This window comes from Homo sapiens, chromosome 9 (assembly GCF_000001405.40).
Source record: "Homo sapiens chromosome 9, GRCh38.p14 Primary Assembly".
Classification (NCBI taxonomy): Eukaryota; Metazoa; Chordata; class Mammalia; order Primates; family Hominidae; genus Homo; species Homo sapiens.
In genome coordinates, this window is record NC_000009.12 from 134,470,030 (window position 1) to 134,495,121 (window position 25,092).

Genomic DNA, 25,092 nt, shown 5'->3' on the forward strand with positions numbered 1-25,092 from the left:
CTGGGTCCTCCTGAGCATGGGTCCTCCTGAGCCTGGGTCCTCCTGAGCATGGGTCCTCCTGAGCCTGGGAACTTCTGAGCCTCGGGTCTTCCTGAGTCAGGGTCCTTCTGATCCTGGGTCCTCCTAAGTCTGGGGTCCTCCTGAGCCTGGGTCCTCCTGAGCCTGGGGCCCTCCTGAGCCTGGGGTCCTCCTGAGCCTGAGTCCTCCTGAGCCTGGGGTCCTCCTGAGCCTGGGTCCTCCTGAGCATGGGTCCTCCTGAGCCTGGGAACTTCTGAGCCTGGGGTCTTCCTGAGTCAGGGTCCTTCTGATCCTGGGTCCTCCTAAGTCTGGGGTCCTCCTGAGCCTGTGTCCTCCTGAGCCTGGGGCCCTCCTGAGCCTGGGGTCCTCCTGAGCCTGAGTCCTCCTGAGCCTGGGGTCCTCCTGAGCCTGGGTCCTCCTGAGCCTGGGGTCCTCCTGAGTCAGGGTCCTCCTGAGTTGGGGTCCTCCTGAGCCTGGGACCCTCCTAAGTCAGAGTCCTCCTGAGCCTGGGTCCTTCTGTGTCAGGGTCCTCCTGAACTGGGGTCCTCCTGAGCCTGGCAACTCCTGAGCCTGGGTCCTCCTGAAGCTGGGCCCTCCTGAATCAGGGTCCTCCTGAGTTGGGGTCTTTCTGAGCCTGGGTCCCTCCTGAGCCCAGGTCCTCCTGAGCCTGGGACCCTCCTGAGTAAGGGTCCTCCTGAGCCTCAGTCCTTCTGTGTCAGGGTCCTCCTGAACTGGAGTCCTCCAGAGCCTGGAAACTCCTGAGCCTGGGCCCTCCTGAGTCAGGGTCCTCCTGAGCCTGGGACCTCCTGAGCCTGGGAACTCCTGAACCTGGGGTCCTCCTGAGTCAGGGTCCTCCTGAGTTGGGGTCCTCTTGAGCCTGGGGTTCTCCTGAGCCTGGGACCCTCCTAAGTGAGAGTCCTCCTGAGCCTGGGTCCTTCCATGTCAGGGTCCTCCTGAACTGGGGTCCTCCTGAGCCTGGGTCCTCCTGAGCATGGGTCCTTCTGAGCCTGGAAACTTCTGAGCCTGGGGTCTTCCTGAGTCAGGGTCCTTCTGATCCTGGGTCCTCCTAAGTCTGGGGTCCTCCTGAGCCTGGGTCCTCCTGAGCCTGGGGCCCTCCTGAGTCAGGGTCCTCCTGAGCCTGGGTCCTCCTGAACCTGGGGTCCTCCTGAGCCTGGGTCCTCCTGAGCCTGGGCCCTCCTAAGTCAGGATCCTCCTGAGCCTGGGTCCTCCTGAGCCTGGGTCCTCCTGAAGCTGAGTCCTCCTGAGTCAGGGTCCTCCTGAGTTGGGGTCCTCCTGAGCCTGGGTCCTCCTAAGCCTGGGAACTCCTAAACCTGGGTCATCCTGAGCCTGGTAACTCCTGAGCCTGGGGTCCTCCTGAGCCCGGGGCCCTCCTGAGTCTGGGGTCCTCCTGAGCCTGGGGTCCTCCTGAGCCTGAGGCCCTCCTAAGTCGGGGTCCTCCTGAGCCTGTGTCCTCCTGAACCTGAGGCCCTCCTAAGTCAGGGTCCTCCTGAGCCTGTGTCCTCCTGAGCCTGTGGCCCTCCTGAACCTGGGTCCTACTGAGCCTGGGTCCTCCTGATCCTGGGATCCTCCTGAGCCTGAGTCCTCCTGAGCCTGGGGTCCTCCTGAGCCTGGGTCCTCCTGAGTCGGGGTCCTCCTGAGCCTGGGATCCTCTTCAGCCTGGGACCCTCCTGAACCTGAATAGTCCTGAGCTTGGCTCTTCCTGAGCCTGGAATCCTCCTGAGCCTGGGGCCCTCCTGAGTTGGGGCCCTCCTGAGTTGGGGGTCCTCCTGAGCCTGGGTCTTCCTGAGCCTCGGTCCTTCTGAGTCATGGTCCTCCTGAGCTAGGGTCCTCCTGAGCCTGGGTCCTCCTAAGCTTGGGTCCTCCTGAGTCAGGGTCCTCCTGAGCCTGGGGTCCTCCTGAGCCTGGGGTCCTCCTGAGCCTGGGACCCTCCTGAGTCAGGGTCCTCCTGAGCCTGGGTCCTTCTGAGTCAAGGTCCTCCTGAGCTGGGGTGCTCCTGAGCCTTGGTCCTCCTGAGCCTGGGTCTTTCTGAGCCTGGGACCTTCCTGAGCCTGGGTCCTCCTGAGCCTGGGTCCTCCTGAGCCTGGGTCCTCCTGAACTTGTCCTTCTGTGATTCAGGTCTTCTTGAGCTCAGCCCCTCCTGAGTGTGGTCTCTTTGGGACAGTGGGGACACAGCCTGTTGGTCTGTAGCCTTGCTCACCCCGATGACTGCTCAGACCCGCTCTTCATTAGTGGTGGGGCGGTGCAGAGGTCTTGGCTGTGCTTGGCCCTCCGGCTGGCTGCAGGGAGCTTTGGCAGAATCCTCTAGCCTCCTGCCTGGCTGTCCCTGAGGGGTGGGAGCCAGACTGGGCATGAGCCCTGTGGGTGGCTGCCCCAGCCCTGGAGTTGCTGACAGTAGTGGGCAGGAGAGGCTTTCTGGGCGGGGACCTGGCCCCTGCAGCCCCAGAGGTCAGTCAGAGGTGGGAGGCTGGCTGGGGTGGAGACGCCTTCCTTGGTGGTGTTGCAGGCCTTGGGCTTGGAGGAGCCATCTGAGTCTCAGTGCCTGCCTTGGTGGGGCAGGGGTGGCCTGGCCCTGCCCCTTTGGAGCTACTCGCCCGGGGCAGGTCGCTCTGCGCCTCTGGGAGCCCCAGTTCCCCGCTGGCAATTTGGAGCCCTGGGGGCCCTGGCCCACCCCACTCCCAGGGCCCCTCCACTCTCAGTTTTTCCCAAGGAAAGCCTGGGTGGTCTGAGGCCTGGCCTTCCCCCTTTGAGGGTCCGAAGAGTCCCTGATCATGGCCAGGGCCGGGCTCACTACAGATGCCACTTCCACGTTCCCTGAGTGCCTCCTGTGTATGCATGGCCCTGGGCTCCTGGCTCCTTCTCCCTTGGGCGTGGAGGAGGTGGCAGGTCCACCCTCTCCCAGGTGAGGCCCCAGTGTTGAGTCTCACACCCCGGGTCACAGCACGGTGGGACTCCGGCTTGGACTCTCAACTTCACCCCCATCTCCAGGGGGCTGGCGAGTGGATAAGTACACCCCTCCCCAGGCGGGAGGGACACAGAGCTAGGGCTCCAGCTTCCAACCAGAGGTTCAGAGGGGGCCTACAGAGGAAGCTGACCCTCACAGCGCCACAGCCCTGGCCAAGGTGCACAGCGTCCCATTTTCCGTGTCCCCTGGGAGGCCCAGTCCCCCTCCTGGAAGATGCCTGGCCCTAAGTTGCTGTCTTCTTATTCAAATGGACTTCTGTTGGCTCATACGGTCCCATCAGCTGCAGTGGATGTTTTGCATAATGACGATTTGGAACTCAACCTATTCTACTAGAATGTCCAATTTAATGCCAATTAAGTCTGGAATTGAATGATGTTCTCTGGGAATCCTGCACAGATGAGCCTCAGTGGCGCTGGCTGCAGAGACCGTGATCACTCACTTTGGCTTCTTGGAACCGCCCTAGCACAGGGCTGTGGGCTCCCTCACCTGGCCTGGCCCTCGGGCTACCCCTGCCACTGCCTTGATGGGAGAAGCCGCTGGATGGGCAGCCTCACGTGTGCTGGAAGAAGTCCTGGCCTGGAGGTTCGGAGGCAAGGCAGGCTGGGAGGTGCTCCTGCTGATGTGGATGGCTCTGCCTCCCTTCCTTTCTCACTTCCACCTCCTCTTCCCAGCCCACAGGCCTGTCCCACACCTGTTCCAGGAAGCCTGCCTGGACTGCCCTCCATCCGGAGTCTCCGACGTCTCCGTGCCTGTTCTGGTGAGGTCGTTCCATGCTGGAACCTCTCTGGCTTTTGCAGAGAAGCTCTGAGGTCCTCTGGCTGACTTGCGTTCATCCTGAAAACATTAGGCTCCGGGTGGCCCAGTCTGTGTGCCGGAGTGTGGCGTGGAGGCTGGAGGCTCGCCCTGCTGTCAGCTGACCTGGGCTGGCGCCTGGGGGGCCCCTGGAACTGGTGACTTGGGGGGCTTGTAGGGGTGGCTATCTCCCCGCTTTGGGTTGATGTGAGTCACACACACGGTGCACGGGTGTGTGAGCCAGCCCCAGTCAACGAAGCTGTTAGGACTTTTGTATTTATTTTGGACAATCACCAGGGGGGCCAGGGTGACTGCAGCAGAGTGGGCTGGGAGGGCAGAGAGCAGAAAGGGCCGGGTGAGGACTTGCCTCTTCCTGTAAGATAGTGTGTCCTGAGCGTGGCCACCAGGCCTCCCTCACTGTCCCTAGGGTGAAGTCTAGCTCCTCTGCTGACCCCTGTGGAGTCCCATGACTCCTCCAAAAGGCTCGATTCCCACAGCCTCCCCTGGCTGGAGCAGCCCAAGCCGTGCAGGCTTGCGGATCCCACGGGATGTAGGGGCTCTGGGGTTGCCCCGGAATCTTCCGAGAGTAGCCTCCTGGGTGCTCCATCGTGGTGGGCTTCCCCAGAGAGTGCCTCACGTTTGGGGGCGAGGAGGGCACTTGCTGAATGAAGGCCAAAATGGGGCAGAAAAATGCCCGTGCTGTGCAGAGCTGGCATCTAAGGCCATGCTGGCCCATGAGCATCTTCCTGTGTCCTGACAGCGGAACCCGGAGGCAGAGGGCTTGCCTGCCACTCTCACTCTGAGACTCTTCGAGAATGAGCTTGGTGACCCTCCAGGCCCTGGCCCCGATGGAACCTCCCTGGAGGGGGCTATTGGCTGATGTACTTGCCCCCGCTGAGACCTGGGCCTGCTGAAGATGAGCCCCCAGCCCCAGGGTGAGGCGCACAGCTGGGGCTCAGTGTGTGTTTGCTGAGTGGATGGCATGCCCGCTCTCCCCGCAGCAGTCAGGTGTCCCCGAGGCGGAGCCGTGGAGTGTGTCTTGCCACTAACGGGATAAGAGGAGGCCCCAAGCCAGCCCCTGCTCCATCCCTAGCCCCTGCCTCACTCCCTCCCACACCCCAGGAGCCCCTCTGTCCAGGTGCAACTGCCTGGGCCTCGTGGCAGTTGGCTTTGCCCTTGCACCTGCCTCTGGCTGGAGCCTTCTCAGAGGGCTCGAGGGGACGGTGCCCACCCATGGCTCTACACCGATCTGGCTTCTGCTCGATGCATCCTTCCTCCGGGTGCTGGGGGATGTCCCTTTGCAGAGACGTTATGTATTTTGTTCTCAGCTGTTTCCCTGGGGCCTGGGCTCACTGAGCAGGTGGAGGAAGCTGACAAAGTGTGGGTTTGGCTGCCGCCAGAAAGCCTTGCCTGGGCCTCAGGGGGCTGGGTGGGTTCCTGCTGCCTGGAGAGGCCTGGTGGGCACCCCCTGACCCTGATCGGCACCTTAGGACCCCGCTGCCCTGCTGTCTTGAGAGAACGAGGAGCAGATTCCCGGGGAAGCAGGAGGGGTTCGGGGAAGGAGCAGATCCCCGGGGAAGGAGGAGGGACCCGGACGAGAAGGGGCGCTGCACTCCACGCAGGATGTCTCTCCACCCTGAGCCTGCGGGAGGCCGGTGGCATCTGCAAACTCTGCCACGTGGACAGGCTGCACACTTCTTTCTCCAGGCGTGTTCAGGAAATGAACTTTTCCTCCTCCTTTTCTGGGCCGTGTCCCGGGAGGCGGGGCCCCAGGCTTTAGGAAGGAAGGCAGCTCTGGCCTGGCAGTCGCTGCTCAGTGAGCCCCCAGCCAGGATGGGGTGGGGGCTGTGCTGGGGCCCTGGTGGGGTCCCCCTCCCACTGGCCTCTCTGCTTGGCTCCAACTTCAGCCTGCACAAGCCGCTCCCCACTCTGCTCGTCCCAAAGCCCAGAGCCTGTGTGGGTTTGCAGAGAGCCTGGGTTTGGGGCTGCAGCCAGGACAGCCACCATTCCAGCCCCGACACATTCCAAGAGGGTTCCCTGGAAATCCCTAGAGCCCCCAGAGCTTCTCTGACACTGAGCATTAGTGCATTCTGCCCTCAGAGCTGGAGACCCCGGACCTGCAACTGGCACCAGGGCTTGCTCGTCGCATCCTCACTCTAGGCGCCAGTTCCTCACTCTAGGCCCCAGTTCCTCACTCTAGGCCCCAGTTCCTCACTCTAGGCCTCAGTTCCTCACTCTAGGCCCCAGTTCCTCACTCTAGGCCCCAGTTCCTCACTCTAGGCCCCAGTTCCTCACTCTAGGCGCCAGTTCCTCACTCTAGGCCCCAGTTCCTCACTCTAGGCCCCAGTTCCTCACTCTAGGCGCCAGTTCCTCACTCTAGGCCCCAGTTCCTCATTCTAGGTCCCAGTTCCTCACTCTAGGCCCCAGTTCCTCACTCTAGGCCTCAGTTCCTCACTCTAGGCCCCAGTTCCTCACTCTAGGCCCCAGTTCCTCACTCTAGGCCCCAGTTCCTCACTCTAGGCCCCAGTTCCTCATTCTAGGTCCCAGTTCCTCACTCTAGGCCCCAGTTCCTCACTCTAGACCCCAGTTCCTCACTCTAAGCCTCAGTCCTTCACTCTAGGCGCCAGTTCCTCACTCTAGGCCCCAGTTCCTCACTCTAGGTCTCAGTTCCTCACTCTAAGCCTCAGTCCTTCACTCTAGGCCTCAGTTTGCCCATCTTTGTGAAGAGCAAGGTGGCCCTGAGACGGGTATCCACAAGCTGTGTGGGTTAAGATACAGGCTTTAGTGTTGGATGGCTGAGGGTCTGGGTTCCAGTGTGGCCAAGTCGGCCTGAGCCTGTTTCCCTGCCTATCAATAGGTGGATGAGAGGCCACACGGAGCCTGGCACCGCTGGGAAGGGCTGCTGTAGCCACTTCACCCACCCAGCGCTCCCGAGTTGCCTTCTCTGGGGTGTTCTAGAGACTGCTGGCCAGAGGACTTCATGGAGCCTTGAGCTCAGCCCTCCCAGCCTCCAGATGGTGATAAATACATTTCTGTTCTTTATAAATTGCCCGGTCTGGGGGTAGTTTTCTTTTATCGTGGCTCAAATGGACTAAGACAGAAGGGAAAGAAGAAGCCAGATTGGGTGGAAAAGGCGGCTGCATAGTGGTGCAGGCCTCATAAGGCCTAGTCCAGCCCTCTGGGGACCCCCAGAAAAGTGTCCTGCACCTCACTGCGTCCTGCCTGTTGGTGTCCTGCGGCACACGGCCGTGGCTCACCTACAGAGCGTGGGAAGGGGCATGACCTAGGGTGCGGAGGAGCTGCCAGCTGGAGGCTGTGTGCTAGCCACTCCCCGGGGCCGGGTGACAGGTCCCTCCTGAAGGGAAACCAGGGCAGCCGTCCCTGTGCCAACCACAGCAGGTCCTATGGAGAGGCCGGACCGATCACTCTTGGGAAGGCGGGCCCCACACTCTCATTTTATAGGTATTGAAACTGAGGTCAGACGGTGTGAAAGGGGCTTTTCCAAGGACCGGCCAGCAGCCATGTGGTGGACGGGGATGGAACTCAGTGGGGCTGGAGCCCTGTTTCTGGTCTGTCCTCCCGTGGGCAGCTGCTCAATGCAGCAGGTTGCGACGTCTATTTTGTTTGCCACTGTAGCCATGTCTGGGAATGGCTTAGCCATTTCTATTTTGAGCACCAACTGTGTGCCAGGCTGATGATTTTCCCAGAGAGGGGCTGGATGCATGCACAGCCTGGTCATTCTCACCAAGCTCCTGCCAGCTCTGCCACCAAGGAAACACCTGGCACTTGCAGCCGGCGCCTTCCGCAGGCTCCTGCACCCACAGCAACTCCAGCTGGGATTCTCTAAGCCTCCAGGGGCCAGGGCTTACCAGATGAGCTGCTGAGGGGCAGATGGATGAGCAGAACCACCCCTCCGCGAGGTCCTGCTGTCCCTGGCGGTGTGAGGTGGGGTGGAAGGTCCTTCTTCGGGTGTGCCCATGTGCCGGGCTGCTTGGCATGCTGAGACCCGGAGGGAGCCGGGCACAGCTGACGAGACCTTGGATGCCCTTTCAGACTTGTGAAGGAGGGAAAAGCTTCTTGTTTTAGTTTGCTCATGGGTTGGCAGGAGTAGTGACCTTTTAGTCATTGTATAAAGCAGCAATAAAATGTGATTTCGGGAGGAACTACTGGGTGGGAGACACCCGCGCTGACCTGCACGGGGCTCCCATGGGGGAGATCTGTCTGCCGGGCTAGGTGGGCCTCCTTGCTAGGCTCTGACTCACCTTGGCAATGGCGTGACCGAGTAGTGCAGTGGCTGGACTGAGAAGGACGAGCGGTCACGTGGTGTCTGGGCTGGAGGCACCATCCTCACCCCGTCTGTCCAATGAGGTCTGTCCTGGCTGAGTCTGGTGGCCTCTCTAGGACACGACGCTCATGTGGTCCATCCCTGGGGAGACCTGTCCTTCTTCCTTGGACCCAGTCACTCCGAATCTGTTTCCTGGTGGACTCCTTTGTTCTCAAATATCCATTGCTCTTGTGTGTATGCTCGTGTGTGATGGAAAACATTCTGGGCAGTGTTTTGGCCACTCTCTCTATAGTTGACAGAAACAAGAGAAAGCCCAGGACCCATATGTTTGTCCGTGGCCGAGGGAGAGGCCTCTAACCTCCTCTGCAGATGGCCAGGGGGTCTGTTACGGACTGAACTGTGTACTCCCCCTGCCTTCATATGTTGAAGTCCCAGCTCCTGGTGTCACTGTGCTTGGAGATGAGGGCTTTCTGGAGGTGATTAAAAGAGGGCATAAGGATGGGGCCCTGATCCCATAGGATCAATGTCCTTATAGGAAGAGATGAGAGGACTCCCTCTTCTTTCTCTCTCTCCCCACTATGTGTGGACATGAGGCAGGGAGAGGGCCCTCATTGGAAACCAATTGGCCAGCACCCTGATCTTGTACTTCCTAGGAATAGATGTCTGTTGCTTAAGCCCTCCAGTCTGTGGTATTTGTTATGGGCACCTGAGCAGAAGAAGACAGGTCCAAATGCCTTAATGCTTCTCTAACTAGTTCTCTACCAAATGGTTTCAGAGAGCCAGGAACGATGCTAAAGCTTCCTGATTCGTGACCCTGGCTAAGCAAATGTAACGGCCCCATTGACTCGCAGCCATTGGAGAACTGAGCTTAAGAATCTTTTGGCGGTCTGGAAACTTGGAAAAAGAAAGGGGCAACGTATCCCACTTGAGCCAAGGTAGGTTCCCAAATCACAAATGGCTCAGAAATCCGGGGGCCTGAGTGTGTTTTGGGGTTTGGGCCCCTCTCTCTTGCCAATGGGTCTTGGGAGCCACGGTGCGCTCCAATATGTGACTAGTGTTTTGTACTTTACAGTGCAGTCCTTTAAATTGCAGAAATTATTTTATCTAAAATGCTTCAGTATATAAATCATCTCTCCACTATTGCTACCAAGTGTGTGGCTGCCCTGCAGTGGGTCTAGTACCTAGTGCTGCATGACTGTGGCCCAAACTGAGCAGCTGAGAGCAACACACAGTTATTACCCCATAGTTTCTGTGGGGCAAGAGCCTGGGCATGACCTGACTGGGGCCTCTGCAAGGCTGCAGCCAAGGTGTTGGCCAGAGCCGGGGTCTCATCTGGAGGCTCAGCTGGGGAAGAGTCTGCTTTCAAGCTCCCGTGGCTGTCAGGAGGTCTGAGGTCCTTGTGGGCTGTCACACCGAGGGCTCCAGTTTCTTGCTGGCTGGAGGCTGAAGGCTGCCCCTAGGCCTCTCCCTCATGGCACTGTCTTCATCACAGCCCATGAGTGAGAGCGTCTCCTAGCATGCCTTCAAGCTCCCTAGAGGTTCTCTGGTTCCATTGAGAACATCCATGAGGCCAGTCTTTATCTCCTTACAGGACTGTTTGTTTGTGTGACCTGGTACTTTTAGCATCTGGTTTTTCTGAATTTTAGCAGAAGTTTCTGCAGTCACAATCTCAGGTTTTCCACCAGGCCATACTTTCCCGGCTGCTCAGAAGACATTTCTCTGTCTCCCCTGCTCTTCCCCATCTTGAATGTGGATGTCCTGGCTGGGAACACAGCAGCCAACTCGTGAGTGTGGGTAACAAGCAGGGACAAAAGACCACCAGAGTCACAGAGACGCAGCTGCGGTGACACCGAGGTGAGAATCATTACCAGCAGCCACTTATCTCAGGACTGTGGGGTAAGAAAAATAAACTCCTAGTGATTGCGACCATGAGATTTTGTTTAGGTGTATATTGCTACCTGAAGCTGACAGTATTAGATACCATGAATTTGAAGGTCATCCCTTGGTCATTAACATGTAAGCAGAGAAAAAAGTGTGGCCCGGAACAGTCTGGGGCATGCCCATGAGAAAGCAGGAGAGGGGGAAGCCCAGGAGAGCAGAGGAGCCGCTGTGTGTGGCAGCAGAGCCAGGAGCACTGGCAGAAGGAGCCAGGAGCGCAGCAGACACCCCGTGGCCCCACCTGTGCTTCTGCGTTTCTTAATTTCAGCACCATTTACCACTGAGAGGGGCTGAGAATTTTCAAAATCATCAAGTCCTTGTTCCTTTTTTTTTTTTTTTTTTAACAGTTCTGTCCTCAATATATCTCTTTCTTCTTGCTTTGTACTGTAAGCAGCAAAAAGAAACCAAACAGTACCTCCCATACTTTTCAGGGAAGCCTCTTTAGCTCAGTAGCCCAGCCCAGTCTCAACCCATCCTCCTTGCCGCATACCTGCAGGTGACGATTTTGCTGAACTTGCTCTTAACGACTTTGCAAGCATCTCCCTCCCTCCGGTTTTCAGTGACGTTGTCCTTGCTTGCTTCCGAGTCCTCTCTGGCAGTGATCTTTTTCAAAATTATTATTATTATTATTTTTGAGATGAAGTCTCATTCTGTTGCCCTGGCTGGAGTGCAGTGGCGTGATCTCAGCTCACTGCAACCTCTGCCTACTGGGTTCAAGTGATTCTCCTGCCTCAGCCTCCCCGTCAGCTGGGATTACAGGTGTGCACCACCACGCCTGGCTGCCTCCTGGGTTCAAATGATTCTCCTGCCTCAGCCTCCCCATCAGCTGGGATTACAGGTGTGCGCCACCACGCCTGGCTGCCTCCTGGGTTCAAGTGATTCTCCTGCCTCAGCCTCCCCGTCAGCTGGGATTACAGGTGTGCGCCACCACGCCTGGCTGCCTCCTGGGTTCAAGTGATTCTCCTGCCTCAGCCTCCCCGTCAGCTGGGATTACAGGTGTGCGCCACCACGCCTGGCTGCCTCCTGGGTTCAAGTGATTCTCCTGCCTCAGCCTCCCCGTCAGCTGGGATTACAGGTGTGCGCCACCACGCCTGGCTGCCTCCTGGGTTCAAGTGATTCTCCTGCCTCAGCCTCCCCGTCAGCTGGGATTACAGGTGTGCGCCACCACGTCTGGCTGCCTCCTGGGTTCAAGTGATTCTCCTGCCTCAGCCTCCCCGTCAGCTGGGATTACAGGTGTGCACCACCACGCCTGGCTAATTTTTGTATTTTTAGTAGCGGTTTCTCCATGTCGTCCAGGCTAGTCTCGAACTCCCCACCTCAGGTGATTCGCCTGCCTCGGCCTCCCAAAATACTGGGATTACAGCTGTGAGCCACTACGCCCGGCCTCTGGCAGTCATCTGAAAGCTCAGATTTCCACCAACAGTTTGCTCAAAGCAAATTAGGCTTTCTCTACCACAGTCTCCCAAATCACCCTCTGCCCCTGTCCAGTTCCAAAGCTGCCCCAACACTTCTAGGTATTCCTTATGGCAGCCCCCCACTTCCAGGTACTAAATTACCTGTTAGTTACTTAGTGCCGTATGACAACATTACCGCAAAGTGATTGGCTTAAAACAACACACGTTTATTATCTCAGTTTTCTGGGGTCGGGCACAGCTTAGCAGGGTCTTCATCTTCAGGGTCTCAGAGGCAGCCATCACGGGTGTCGGTTGCATCTTCGGTCTCATCTGCAGACCTGTCTGGGAGGGATCCCTCCCCAGTGCTCGTGGTCATTGGCAGAATCTGCTTCCTTGTGGTTGTGGGGCTGAGGGCCTCCATCTCTTGCAGGCTGTTGGCCGGAGGTCATCTCAGCTCCTAGCTGGGTATTAGCTGGAGGCTGTCCTCAGTCCAGTGCCGTGGGCCTCCCCAGCTTGGCTGCGTGTGGCAGCAAATCCAGCCAGGCGGTCCTCAGCAAGAGAGACATCACAATCTCACAGGTGGTCAGTGCCGGAGGGATGCCTTCCACCTTTACCACACTCCATGGGTTAAAAACAACTCATGGGTCTCACCCATATTCAACGGGAGGGGACTACCCAAGAGCCTGCATTCTGGGGGGCAGGGTAACTGGGGCCATCTTAGGCGCTGTCTACCATGACGAGGCTGTCACCTTCTGAATTGCTTACTCTCCTTTTGGTCCCCCAGATCCACTCGGCTCTCTTCTCTTCTGCGTCCTGCTCTATGGCCTGGGAAGCTGATCTCCAAGGATCGCATTCCTAGGGCTCTCTGGCCCATGGGCTTCCCGTTGGGTTTGCCCAATGGACAGCCATGGCAGAAGATCAAAGGGAAGATGGCAGGAAGCTGTCCCCCACTCCTCGCCTGGCTGAGTTCTGGCGATGGCTGCCATCCAGGGTCCTGAGTCCCACCAGGTATGGTCACCATGCTTGCACCGCTAGTGCCTCTGGGGCTGTGATGGCAAAGGCGTCCACCTGGGGCAGCCCTGCCCTTGCACTCGGTTCCTTCGACCTCTGGGATTTAGCTTTCTGTGTCCTGCTGGCCCTGACTGGTCCACCTCCTTCCTGGGTTGGCCATTCTGGGAGGAAGTGTCCCTAAATGTCCTAAATGTCTCTTGTTTATTGCAGTTTTTACCCCTTGAAGTGAGAAAGAACACGTCTACAACCCTCCCTCATTCCAGAGGCTGTGTTTTTGCCCTTTGGTCATGCAGATGGGGCTAAAGCGAAGTTACAACATTGGAAAATGTCTTCTTAACGTCACACTGATCTCCTTAAGGCAACGAGCCCCACATGCTCTCTGAGGCCTGTGCACGTGTTCTGAGGACCCAGTTATGTGCTGCGTGATTCCAGAGGTGAACAGACCCTCACAGATCACCTCTCCTCACCCTCTCATGAGAGGGAAACTGAGGCTCAGGGGGAGAATTGGCAAAGGTTACACTTGGTGGTGGGTTTGGAATCTGCCCTGTGGACGCCCGACTAACCATTTCTGCCAGATGCGCGTGGGAAGTAAAATGGGAAGAGGTGCTCCATAGGAGGAGGGGACGTGGGTACAGTCACGTGGACCCGTGAGCCGGTCACCTGCGAGGCACCAGGGCCTACAGGAAAGGTGCCCGCTGTCGGCTTCCGCAGGGAATTTCGTTATCTTTGTGAGGTAGGGTGGAACTTGCATCCTGAACATTAAAGTTTACATGCCAAGGAGGGCGGTGGAGTCCTTGGAACTTCCTGCCTCCCCCTGAGGCTGCCTCCCCATGCGATTGACCTGGTCTGGCTGGGCCTGATGCTGGGCTCAAAGAGAACACAGGTCTCACCCTCCTATGTGGCGTGTGGTGAAGACTAAGGAGGTCCCCAGGACCCTGAGGGTTGCCCTTGGGTGCATTGGAGTAGAGGCCAGGGAAGTCCATGTCCTTTCCGAGCCAGGCCTTGCCGCCGAGGTACAGCCACAGTGTCCCCCTTCCAGCTGCAGAGCCGCTGCTTCCTCATCTGTCAGGTGGGAACAACGACCCCCACTCTGTGCACCTCACTGGCAGTAGCGAGCACGAAGTGTGAGGGTGGACTCTGCAAGGTGGAAGCCATGTCCCTGCAGGTTGCATCTGTGCTGCCTGCCCTGCTGAGGGACGGGAACAGCAGCATAGCCTTCGGTACCACGTACCTTGTTTGTCAAAACTGGACCTGCCACAGCGCGGTGGCCCTTCTCCTGGGGAAACACACTGTGCCCCAGGAGGTGTGTGGACAAACACCTTCACAGCACTGATGCTGAGACAGCCAGAGCCCAGAAACGCCCAGCCGCCCCCGGTAGGAAAATGAATAAGTAAATTGGGGCAATTGGAGATTGTGATGTCTCTCTTGCTGAAGACCACCTGGCTGGATTTGCTGGGGTGGGACCCAGACCGGGACGTTTTCATACACACAAAACGGGCTGTGCCAGGTGGCCTTCTCCAGGGCACGGTGGGTGGGGGAGTCTCAGGCTGCCACGTGCCTGGCAGGCTTGGGACGAGGTGAAGGGAGGTGAGTGTTCGTGGGGATGCTGGGACCCCATTCGGGCCAGGTCAATCACATGGGGAGATACAGTATCAACAGTAAAGGATCTTTAGATATGTAAACACACAGATAAGTGGCCGGTGTAATGTGCAGAAAATGCTAAACAACAGAATGCAATAATACAAAGTTCCAAAGCAGGCAACCCTAAACTCCATGTTCTTAGGGATGAACATAGAGGGGAGGAAGCTGGCTGGGCTCAGTAGCTCACACCTGTAATCCCAGCACTTTGGGAGGCCGAGGTGGGTGGATCACCTCAGGTCAGGAGTTCGAGACCAGCCTGGCCAACATGGTGAAACCCTGTCTCTACTAAAAATCCAAAAATTAGCCGGGCTTGGTGGTGCATGCCTGTAATCCCAGCTACTCAGGAGGCCGAGGCAGGAGAATCACTTGAACCCAGGAGGTGGAGGTTGAACTAAGCTGAGATCGCACCAAGCTGAGATCGCACCAGTGCACTCCAGCTTGGGCAACAGAGCAAGACTCTGTTTCAAAAAAAAAAAGGAGGAAGCTGTGAAGACAAGCAAGGGAGTTGTTAGCACACAGCCAAGTGGGGAGGTGGTGCCAACTGCCAGTCTGTGTCCTGACTACCAACATCCTTGCCCCTGGGGAGGATGTGGCTGGCTGCCCATTGGGTATTGCTGGGACCAGATGCTGGGTCCCATAAAAGCCTCCTGTGCCACCCCCATGCCCTCCGTCCTTCCTTCATTAACTGGATGTTGGGTGGACACTGATGCCCAGAGTGACTTTGGGAAACCCTCTGTGCCAGATGGCAGAGCATCTATCAGCTCAGGCCCCTGAACCTGGCCTAGAATCCTGTGCTACCTGCCCCTTGCCAATTGGACTTTATCTAAGCAAGAAGCAAATTTTCCTTTTCTCTCTCTCTCTTTCTTTTCTTTCTTTTCTTTCCTTCCTTTTCTTTCTTTCTTTTCTTTCCTTCTTTCTTTCTCTCTCTCCCTCTTTCTTTCTTTCTCTTTCTTCTTATTTCTTTCTCTCTTTCTTTTCTTTCTTTTTTTCCTTCCTTCTCTCTCTTTCCTCTTTTCTTTTCTTCTTTTCTTTTCTATTCTTTCTTGAGACAGCATCTGACTCTGTCACCCAGGCTTGATTGCAGTGGTGGGATCACAGCTCACTGCAGCTTGGACCTCCCCAGGCTCAGGTAATCCTCCTGCCTCAGTCTGCTGAGTAGTCAGGACTACAGGCATACGCCATCATGCCTGGCTAATTTTTCTGTTTTTTGTAGAGATAGGATTTTGCCACATTGCCCAGGCTGGTCTCAAACTCCTGGGATCAAATGATCCACCCGCCTTAGCCTCCCAAAGTGCTGGAATTATAGGCGTGAAGCACTGTGCCTGGCCTTTATTTCCTTAAACCACTGAGATCTGGGATCCATATGTGATAGCAGGAGTCAGCAAACTGTGACCCAGGCCACATGTGGCCTGCTGCCTGCTTCTTGCGGCCCTAAGGTCTTGCATCTTTCAAGGTGTACCTTTCCACTGGGCACCTACATGCCAGCATCATAGTTTCAATTTGCCCCGTGGCTCATATGGCTTAAAACACTGACTACCTGGTGCTTCAGGAGAAGGCTTTCTGCGTCTGGCATGGCTGCCTTAGGTCAGGGTCCCTTGGAAGCAGCCTCTGACAGAATACTTGAGTGTGAGTAGTTTATTTGTGGGGGTGATCCCAAGAAGCTCTGATACGGAAGTGAGGTACGTGAGCAAGCTGGCCACCACTGTGAGAAATTTGGGTGCAGTCCCCAGGGGACCTCTGGATGACAGTGGTGAATCCCCCTGAGTGTTCCGTCTGAGGGAGAGGAAGCTGGGGCATTTCTCCCCACTCCTGTCCCTCGCCACAGACAGAGACCAGAGAAACTCTAAATTAGAGGCTGCAGGTCAGGGAGTGCCGGGGAACGGGCAGCGTCAGCCACAGCTGCCTTTGCTGAGACCTTTGCTGAAACCCCTTCACTGGACAGATGAGAAACCAAGGCTAACGGGGGTAAAGCATCATGCTCCAGGCTGTGAAGACAGGAAGAGGCAGAGCCGGCCTGTGTCTAGGCCCGGCTGCTCCTGGGCAGGGGTCTTCCTGCTCTCCTACCTCACTGGATTTCCCAAGCTCAGCCTGGTGGGGTGTGGCAGAGGCTGGTGGGGCCTGGCAGGGGTTATGAGGTATGTCCGAGTCTCCTGGCAACGGGGATCGCACCCAGGCTGGCCCAGCGCCTTTGCCCCGCAAGCCAGGGAGCGGTGCCATTGCTCCAGGAAGTCGCCTGGCCTGAGACTTTCCTAAATTCTACCCAGACTCAGCGCCCAGAGCCTGGTGAGTCCTAGGTGCCCGGGCCAGGCCTTCAGATGTGGATTTTCCATGGAAGGCAGAGCCGGGCTGGCACTGCGGGCGTGCGCCTCACGCCTACACAGCACTCGGTTCTGGAATTGGCTCCTCAGCCTGTGATGCTGTGGGCTAGAGAGTTTACCCAGGGATAATAACCGTGGGCTCATGAAATCACAGGATTCCTGGGGCTGGGTGGGACCATGGAGAGGGCTCTGCGGCCTCTCCTTGTTGGATGGAGGGGGAGAGTGGCCCAGGCAGGGAAGGGAGTGTCCAAGCCTCGAAGCCGCTCGTGGTGGGACCCAGGGACCCAGACCGGGACTTTTTCACACACACAAAACGGGCAGTGCCAGATGGCCTTCTCCAGGAAATGGTGGGTGGGGGAGTCCTAGGCTGCCACGTGCCTGGCGGGCTTGGGACAAAGTGGAGGGAGGTGCTTGCCGGCGAGTGTTCATGGGGACGCTGGGAAGAACCGCGTGGTGGCTCTGTCCTACCTCGCAGGGTGCCTCTTCCTGGCCAGGACCAGGCTCTGCCCAGTGTGGGGGCCTTTTTTCTCCTAGTGTCTATACCACGCTGCCTCTGCCACCTTACGGGAGGTTCCTTCCATGATAATCTCTCTGCCAACTCATTACAAATCATTTGTTTCTCTACAAAGAGCATCCGTGCTCATTGTGGACAATTCAAACAGTTGAGCCAGGTTCACTTGGGAGGGAAAATCTCCCCAGATCCGACGATCAGAGACAGAGACAGAGCTCCGCTGAAACGCCCCAGCCTGGAAATCCATGGTGAATGAACTCTGCGTGGCCCACGCTCCTCACCATCCGTGTGTTTGTCCATCAGCAGTTTCAGTGGCCACCGCTGTCATGAGGATGTTGTTGCTCTTCAGATGGAGAGACCTCAGCACCCTCCCAGCTGGGTCACTCACCCTCCCCTGCTCCATGCAGGCAGAGCTGTGAGCTGAGCCCACATCCCCATGGGCCCAGCCCTCTTGCCCCCCTTCTCCCTGCTATGTGCCCTAGAGCATGGTCATGCCTGAGTTTCTGTACCACCAGTTAGCTGGAGAGGGAGAACCTCCAGATCTGGGTTTGAGCCCAAATCATAGGCCCCAGTCGGCTTTGCTGGAGTTCCCATCAGGCGGCATGGAACCACAGCCCTGATGGGAAGAAGCTGGGCACACTGACCGTCAGGGGCTCATCTCTCCTGTGCGGACCCCTTCCTCAGTGAGGAGGGACGGTAGGCAGGGCTGAACTTGGCAGTCCCGCATGTTCTAGGGCACCATATGGGTGCCCCATGCCACGAGCACAGCAAACCCTCTTTCCTTCAGTCTGCTGGTGAGGGACTTTTAGGGGATGCCCATTGATTTGTTAATACAGATAACGCTCCCTGAACCTTCTGAACTTGGCTTATTACTTCTGAGGCTGGCTTCGCAGGTCAGGACTACAGATTCTGAACAAATGCCTTTTCTTATATTTTGATGCCAACTGACAAATGACCTCTGCAAAAGCAACCCAGCCCCCACCTCTACCAAGAGTAGGCAGGGACGTTCATTCCCACGTGCCCTCTGCATGGGCGCCTGCTCATTTCCTTCCTTCCTTCCTTCCTTCCTTCCTTCCTTCCTTCCTTCCTTCCTTTCTCTCTCTCTCTCTCTCTCTCTTTCTTTCATGGAGTCTTGCTCTGTTGCCTAGGCTGGAGTCCAGTGGTGTGATCTCGGCTCACGACAACCTCTGCTTCCCAGGTTCAAGCAATTCTCCTGCCTCAGCCTCCCGAGTAGCTGGGATTACAGGCAGGCACCACCACACCTGGCTAATTTTTGTATTTTTAGTAAAGACAGGGCTTCACCATGTTGGCCAGGCTGGTCTCAAACTCCTGACCTCAAGTGATCCACCCACCTTGGCCTCCCAGAGTGCTGGGATTATAGGCATATGCCTTATTTCCTCCAGGACAGAGGATGCCCCTTCATGCTGGATGCCTCATGCCTTCACGTATGTGAATACGACTGCAGTGGGTGGCGGTCACCTGGCTCCCTGGCCTGGCACAGCGTGGCGGCAGACACAGAGGATGCAGCCTCACTCAGGCGGGGCCCAGGGCAGCCGCCCCTGCTCGGGCAGTTCTCTGCTGAACAGTTGCATAAAAACCTGGCTTCCTTTGTCTGGTGGCTTCTCTGAGCCCTTTACAGAGAGTGCATGGAGGCGCTGGTGTCCGCATGTACCCACACGGAAGTGCTTCTGTCACTTCTGAGCTTCCCCTGCTGAGAACTGGTGCCTCGGTTCCGCCCAGTGACGAGGGCGCTGGGAAACGTCCCTGCAGGCAGCTGCTTCCCACAGTGACTGTGCCTCGGAGAGAGTCAGAGCCTGATGGGCCGGCGGCCACCTCTGCCGAGCTCTGTCCTTGGGATCCTGCCCTGTTGCCCTGCCTGGGGGGATTTTAACCGTCTGTGATCTCATCAGTGTTGTGCTGATTTCGTGGTCAAACCATCAGAGTTTGGGGACGTCTGCTATCTGCCTGCGGAAGCTCCACGTTGCATTTTTCATTCCAGTGTGAGATGAGGGGCAGAGGGAAACTGCCAGTGCCAAGCCGTGCTTTTCGTTAGCTCAGTGGGGGAGCAAGCTCCCTCGCTCCCCTACCAGCTGCCCCTCCTGCATTTCACCCAGTCGCCCGGGATCAGGGAAGCAGAAGGAGGGTGCTTGGACAGAGGCATCTTTCTGATGGAAGCAGGAGGAAGTACCCTTGGAGGGGCTGATTCTGAGCATCCAGGTCACCCCCCTGCCCACCGCCTATGCCATGGCAGATGTTGCTAATTGGCCGCCAAGCCCAGAAGGAGTCTCAGACCCCTTCTTTACACAGTGCCCTTGGTGAAAATAAATGAAGGCCACCCAAGTGAGAACAGGCAGAGGCTGACTCTAGCACGGGAGTCGGCCACTGTCACTTATGTTTTAGCAGAGGCTCAAAGGCAGGCAGAGAAGTAGAAAAACCTGATACCATAGAGGACAAAAGGGAAGACTTCAGGTGAGCCCTGGTTGGAGGCTGTTGGTGTTGGGAAGCTGGAAGTGGTTGATTAGAAGCAGTGTCCTGTGCAATGGGCTAGGGATACAGATTTAGTTTTCTCTGGTTGGTCCTAAGTTGGAAGGAAGGAAAATGTTAGGAAACATACCAGTTATTCATCAAGTCCAGGCCACTTTGGGCAGATTGTTACAGGGGTTACTGTTTGGCTTCTTGGACTGTTTGCAAGAGACAGTGGTCTGACGTTCTCTGCAAGGCAGACTTGTGGGTGGCAGGCGGCTTCCTGGGCTGATTGTGGTGGGTAATGCATTGTGTCCTGGGTGGGTTGCTGCGGATTGTGGGTCAGAGTCCTGTTTTTATATGCGATCTGGCCATTGCCGACTTGTATACACAACCTCTCACCTGGCTGGGAGGGGCACTACCCCTGGGTTGCAGGGGGCTTCTGAGATGAAGCCTATTTACCATTCCTCCTAGAAGGAGCACATCTCCCTCCGTGCACGGGGCCACACTCGCTCCGGGATGATTCCAGGTTGTACTGGAACACTGCTTCATTTCTCACCCTGAGGTGGATGCAGGAAGGAGAGAAAGACACCAGTACAGAACCCTGCTTTGGATGAGCTGATCATGCAGGTGGAAAGAAAGGACCCAGCTCCTGCTGCGAGGAACCACCCTCCCCAGTGTGGCTGTCCCCAAAGGAAAGGGGCTGAGTGGGGAACATCCCCTGGGAGGGTCACAGGGCCTTATGATGAGAAGAGCCCAGCCTCTGGAGCCACCAACTTGGGTTCAAATCCAAACTCCACTGCCCGCGGTCAGGTCCCTTCCAGGAGCTTGTGTCCTTGTGAGTCAGGGTGGTTGGGGTGATGTCACCATGTCACACAGTTTGGGAAGGTTGAAGAGGGTCAGTGATGCAAAGCGCCAGCATGTGGTAGATGCTTGAGTCAGCCCCTTACTACTGGTGGCCATTTCTTCTAGGGGCTTCAGTGCCTTGTCTATGACAGGGAGGAGAGGTCTGCATGGTTCATATACGGATGCCCAATGGAGGGAGGGGCTCTTTCCCTCCGGGTTCCAGGGGGACAATGGAAGTTGCAGATGGCTGAGCCTGCACCGTAGCAGGTATACAATGACGCAGACACTGTGAAGTCAACTCTGACACGATTACATCCCATCTTTAGAAGAGACAGGCAGTGGGGACCTGAGAATCAACCTCCTGAGAATCAGCAGAGGATTCTGGGCTCCACTTGTGTGTGTGGAGGACGGGCCTCTGTTCCGGCATGGAGGCCTCCTTTCTGCATGAGTGTCCTGATAGGCCTCAGGCCTGTGTCCAAATCTTCACTGCTCTGCCTGGGATCCTGGGCAAGTTATTGACACTTCAGAGCCTTCCACGTGCACAATCCTGGTGCTTAGATTGGTTCGTTGGGAGGAATCTGTGAGATACGGGGTGGTGGAGAGCATTTAGCCGGGGATCTGGCCAGAGTAACTGCTCAATAAGGATACCCAAGAATAGGCCGGGTGCGGCGGCTCACGCCTGTCATCCCAGCACTTTGGGAGGCCAAGGCGGGTGGATCACTTGAGGTCAGGAGTTCAAGACCAGCCTGGCCAACATGGTGAAACCCCGTTTCTACTAAAAATACAAAAATTAGCCAGGTGGGGTGGCAGGTGCCTGTCATCCCAGCTACTTGGGAGGCAGAGGCATGAGAATCACTTAAACCTGGGAGGTGGAGGTTACAGTGAGCCGAGATGGCACCACTGCACTCCAGCCTGGGTGACAGAGGGGCTCTGTCTCTAAAAAAAAAAAATATAAAAAAGATACCCAAGAATAACAAAAAGAGAGAGGCGGGGCTGGAGTATTCTGTTATTGTGTCTCTGCGTGTGCCACACCATCCTGCCTCGTGCTGTGTGCCTCTGGGTGTCAGGGGCTCTGCCACTTCCTCTCGCCCGAGAGCTCACTGGAGGCTGGGAGGTCAGAGGAGGAATGGACCCTACCCCAAGCACCAGGCTGGATCAGAGCACATGGGCCACGTCGCTTCCTCTTATCAGAGGAAACTGCAGAAACAGCGACAGCCTCTTTGCCCTGTTCCTGGGGCGTGACCTGCTCCGTGAATTCGGTGTCTGACTCTCCTGTCTTTCTTTTCTCATCGGCGTGCTCGCAATCCTGGGTCTGGGTTCTCTCTGTGGATGAAGAAGGGGATCTGAGCTAGAAGCAGGATAATCTGAGCTAGAAGCAGGATCCGTCTGTGGTCAGAAATTGGCTCCTGGGACAGCTGGGGGGAGTGGCCATGACCAGGGCTGTCTTTTATTGAGCCCAGAGCCTTTTGGACGGGGGTACATCACAAAGTCATTTCCGCGTATGGATGGCCTACTAGGTGCCGGGCGCAGTGCGTCTGCTGACTCTCTGAAAGGAGAGTTTGTTTGTTTTCTATTTTATAGATGAGGGGACTGTGGAGTCAGTGGTAAAATGATTTGCTGTGGTTTGAACCCACGTCTGACCCCAGAGCCACTGTAACCCCTCCAGTATCCCGACCACTTCTTCCTGCCTCCACCTGCCTCTCAGGCCCTCCGGCCACGGTGCAGGAGGTGCTGGGTAAGTATTTGTCACCTGATTGTCAGAGGACAAGCCATTGCTAACTTGGGTGAAATTCTGCCCAAGTCCTGACAAGAAAATGGGCCACGGGCTCGGGATGTCGGACTTGCATTTTCTTGGAGGCTGATGGTGGTGCCCCTCGCCTGGCCCTTGCCTGGGCTACCCCTGGAGGTCTTGACCCGTGAGGCTGGGAGGTCAGAGGAGGAATGGACCCTACCCCAAGCACCAGGCCGGATCAGAGAAGAGGAGGCCTCCAGCTAAAGCCTGCATGACCCGCAAGAAGAGGAGGCCTCCAGCTAAAGCCTGATCTGCCTCTGAAGAATTTTCAATATGAGCATTAAGAAACAGTCCATATGGTTCAGAAAAGCCTGCTCACGCCCTTCCCAGCATCTGCTGCTGATTAAGGATAAGTGAGTTCACCCGGGGGCCCTGAGCACTGCTGGTTTGCGTGTTCTCTACATGGACAGCTGGGATTAAAGCGAGCTCCAGGGTTTTGTGCAATCCTTTAAGATAAGGAGTCCATTTGGGCTTTTGAGCAGATTGCTCCATGCAGCTGAAGTACTCCTGAGAGTCCGGAGTCAGAGCGGAGCCCACACCTCCTGGGTGGGGAGCTCGCAGGGAACGCGGGGCCAGTGAGGACCGCATTCCATTCACTAGTCCATTCATTCCCTTAGCCAGGTTCTTGCTCTGGGCTGGGTGCCCTGCACGGTGCTGAGGATACAGCGGGGAAAAAACCAAAACAGAACAAATCCAACCCAACCTGCTCCGGCCCCAACAAGCTAACAGCCTGGAGGTGTTAGCCAAGTGACCCGAGAACCAAGAGTGTAACATGGGCCATGCCAAGAGGGCGGGCACTCAGTTCTGTGGGGGCCAGAGTTGCCTCGGAGGTCAGAGAGGGCTTCCTGGAGGAAGCGGCATCTGAGTCAAGATTTTGAGGGATGAGTAGGAGTTAGTGAGGTGGAGAGCTGGGGCCGTAGCCTCGCCTCCGAGACAGAGGAGACAGGCTGTGCTCTGTGGCAGGAGGGAGTGGGGCCAGTGCCTGGGGTCTGCACAGACCAGGGAGTTGGTGACCCAGGACAGCAGGGAGGAGGTGGGGCCGGGGGCAGGGCCGCACGGTGGAAGCACCGAGGGGATTTCGACAATGACCACCCCCCTATCCCCTAGAGGGAGAGCTGGGAGCCAGGCTGCAGTAATGTCCCGGGGCCAGTTGTGGAGTTAACCCTTTAGTCCCTTTGAGACCCCGGTGTTTGGGGGATGGGGGTGGGGAAGTGACTGTGTACTGACCCTGACCTGTAAGGCAGTATTTCAATATCTGAAACCCTGGCCCAGCAGTCCTGGCGGCCCAGCCGCGTTGAAACCCTGGGAGCAAATGGCAGGATTCTAAGTGTGAGTGGAGAGTGTGGGGTGGGATGAAGGTGGGGCAGGGACGTCACCAGCTGCCACTCGGCTAAGCTCCCCTGACCGCAGGGTGAGGACAGAGCACACACCACCAGGTCAGAGGCTCCCGCCATCCTGTGGATGAGAGAAGGCACTGGGTGCTGGGATCAGGGTGACGGGGGGAAGACGGACCGAGGGAGCGGCATCCTGGCAGTGCCCCGGGAGGGCTGCCCTTGCCTTTGCCTGGTGAAGTCCCCTTTGAAGCCTCTTTCCAGGCACCCCGTTTGTTGAGCCTTGCCCTGGATTTTCACTGCTTAACAAAGTCTAGTTAGTAGCTGCCTTCAGACAGGCTGGGTGGGGCTTGGCCCCTGCACCTGCAGTGTCTGCCACAGTCGCATCTGTGGTTCATTCTGGAAAACCATCAGCCGGAGCCACCTGCAGTTTTCTTCTCTTTTTCAGATGCGACTAACACTGCCCTTGTCAGGACCGCCCTTGTCAGGACAGCCTGCAGGGTCCTTAGTCTCAGGTGGCGTCCCTGCAAAGCAGACCCCGAGACAAGGGTCTGGGCACAAGTGGCTGTTCTGGAGGGGAGTCTAGGATTTGCTGCGAGGCACCGGGGGAAGCAGGATGGGAAGCAGGGAGCCCGCAAAGCAACTCAGCCTGCTGGGGACCCTCCGAGAACAGAGGCCCATGATGTGCCGAGTGGTCCTGCTGGGATGGTGGATGGCGTTGGGATGGTGAATGGCACTGGGGTGGTGGATGGCACTGGGGTGGTGGTTGGTGCTGGGGTGGTGGATGGTGCTGCGGTGGTGAATGGCACCGGGGTGGTGGATGGTGCTGGGATGGTGGTTGGCGCTGGGGTGGTGGATGGCGCTGGGATGGTGGATGGCGCTGGGATGGTGAATGGCGCTGGGGTGGTGGTTGGCGCTGGGATGGTGGTTGGCGCTGGGGTGGTGGATGGCGCTGGGGTGGTGGATGGCGCTGGTATGGTGAATGGCGCTGGGGTGGTGGATGGCGCTGGGATGGTGGTTGGCGCTGGGGTGGTGGATGGCGCTGGGGTGGTGGATGGTGCTGGGGTGGTGGATGGTGCTGGGATGGTGGATGGCGCTGGGGTGGTGGATGGCGCTGGGGTGGTGGATGGCGCCGGAGTACTCAGCTACCGTTCCCATCCCCAACTGTTCTGGGGGTCCTTCAGGGGCTCTGGCACTCCAGCATTTCAGTCCACCTCATTCACAGCCTCAGCTGCCCCCGGTGGCCAGGGAAACCCTTCCAGGAAGGAAAAGGGAAGTGGGGATGCTCTCCGGGGAGTGCCTGCAAGTTGTCTCGGGGTGGATGGGGGGTGGGTGGGGGTTTGGGCCGGGCACTGATGCTGGCTGCTGGAGTCCACCCCTGGCTTCGTCCAAATCCCCTGAAGCCCCTGCCAAGTCCATTCTCATTTGTCCTTGATTCTTCAGGGTGGTGGCTAATAGCATTCCTCCCCAAACTCTTAAATCAGGAGAGCTTGTGAGTCCGGCTGCAGCCCCTGCGGCCCTCAGGCCTTCCAGCGTCACACCTGAGATCACCACCTCCCCCTCCATCCCGTGCCGGTGTCTCTTCCTGGACCGGCACTTCCAGCCCAAGGTTGTTGCCATGGAGTGATGGAGACCTCCCTCTTTGAGGGCTGGCTTTGCCCTGGCCAGGCCTGGCTGCTGGGCTTGTCCATTACTGTTACCCTGCTGGCACCAAGCGGGGCCTAGAATCCAGGTCCCTGCCCCCTGACGTAGCAGTGACCACAGCTCCT

The 25,092-nt window shown here is 57.4% G+C and overlaps 2 long non-coding RNA genes across 7 annotated transcripts in view, besides 2 other annotated features; both read left to right on the forward strand.

Moving 5' to 3' along the window:
• The window catches only part of LOC105376311 (uncharacterized), a 38,028-nt gene extending 24,827 nt beyond the window's left edge, over nt 1–13,201 (forward strand). Inside the window, exons 1-7 of one of the 5 annotated variants that reach the window (XR_007061838.1) lie at nt 2,608–3,583; nt 3,673–4,728; nt 8,854–9,013; nt 9,764–9,932; nt 11,841–11,989; nt 12,195–12,418; nt 12,632–13,201. This is a non-coding gene — a long non-coding RNA (uncharacterized LOC105376311). Of the gene's footprint in view, nt 1–2,607; nt 3,584–3,672; nt 4,729–5,625; nt 6,811–8,853; nt 9,014–9,763; nt 9,933–11,840; nt 11,993–12,194; nt 12,419–12,631 lie in introns of those variants that run through there. The other 4 variants (XR_007061837.1, XR_007061839.1, XR_007061840.1 and 1 more) reach the window with 4 other exon arrangements.
• Nucleotides 5,512–6,013: an enhancer, noted in NCBI's record as "H3K27ac hESC enhancer chr9:137367387-137367888 (GRCh37/hg19 assembly coordinates)". NCBI's record gives its function as "activates a minimal SCP1, AML or CMV promoter by ChIP-STARR-seq in naive H9 embryonic stem cells {active_cell/tissue: H9 hESC(naive)}" and the evidence as "EXISTENCE:reporter gene assay evidence [ECO:0000049][PMID:30033119]".
• Nucleotides 13,202–16,238: 3,037 nt separating the features above from the next.
• Nucleotides 16,239–25,092, forward strand: part of LOC100506532 (uncharacterized) — a 58,996-nt gene continuing 50,142 nt past the window's right edge. Inside the window, exons 1-2 of one of the 2 annotated variants that reach the window (NR_188442.1) lie at nt 16,239–16,345; nt 23,772–24,049. This is a non-coding gene — a long non-coding RNA (uncharacterized LOC100506532). The remainder of the gene's footprint in view (nt 16,346–23,771; nt 24,050–25,092) is intronic. The other variant, NR_188441.1, reaches the window with a different exon arrangement.
• Nucleotides 23,145–23,767: an enhancer, noted in NCBI's record as "H3K4me1 hESC enhancer chr9:137385020-137385642 (GRCh37/hg19 assembly coordinates)". NCBI's record gives its function as "activates a minimal SCP1, AML or CMV promoter by ChIP-STARR-seq in naive H9 embryonic stem cells {active_cell/tissue: H9 hESC(naive)}" and the evidence as "EXISTENCE:reporter gene assay evidence [ECO:0000049][PMID:30033119]".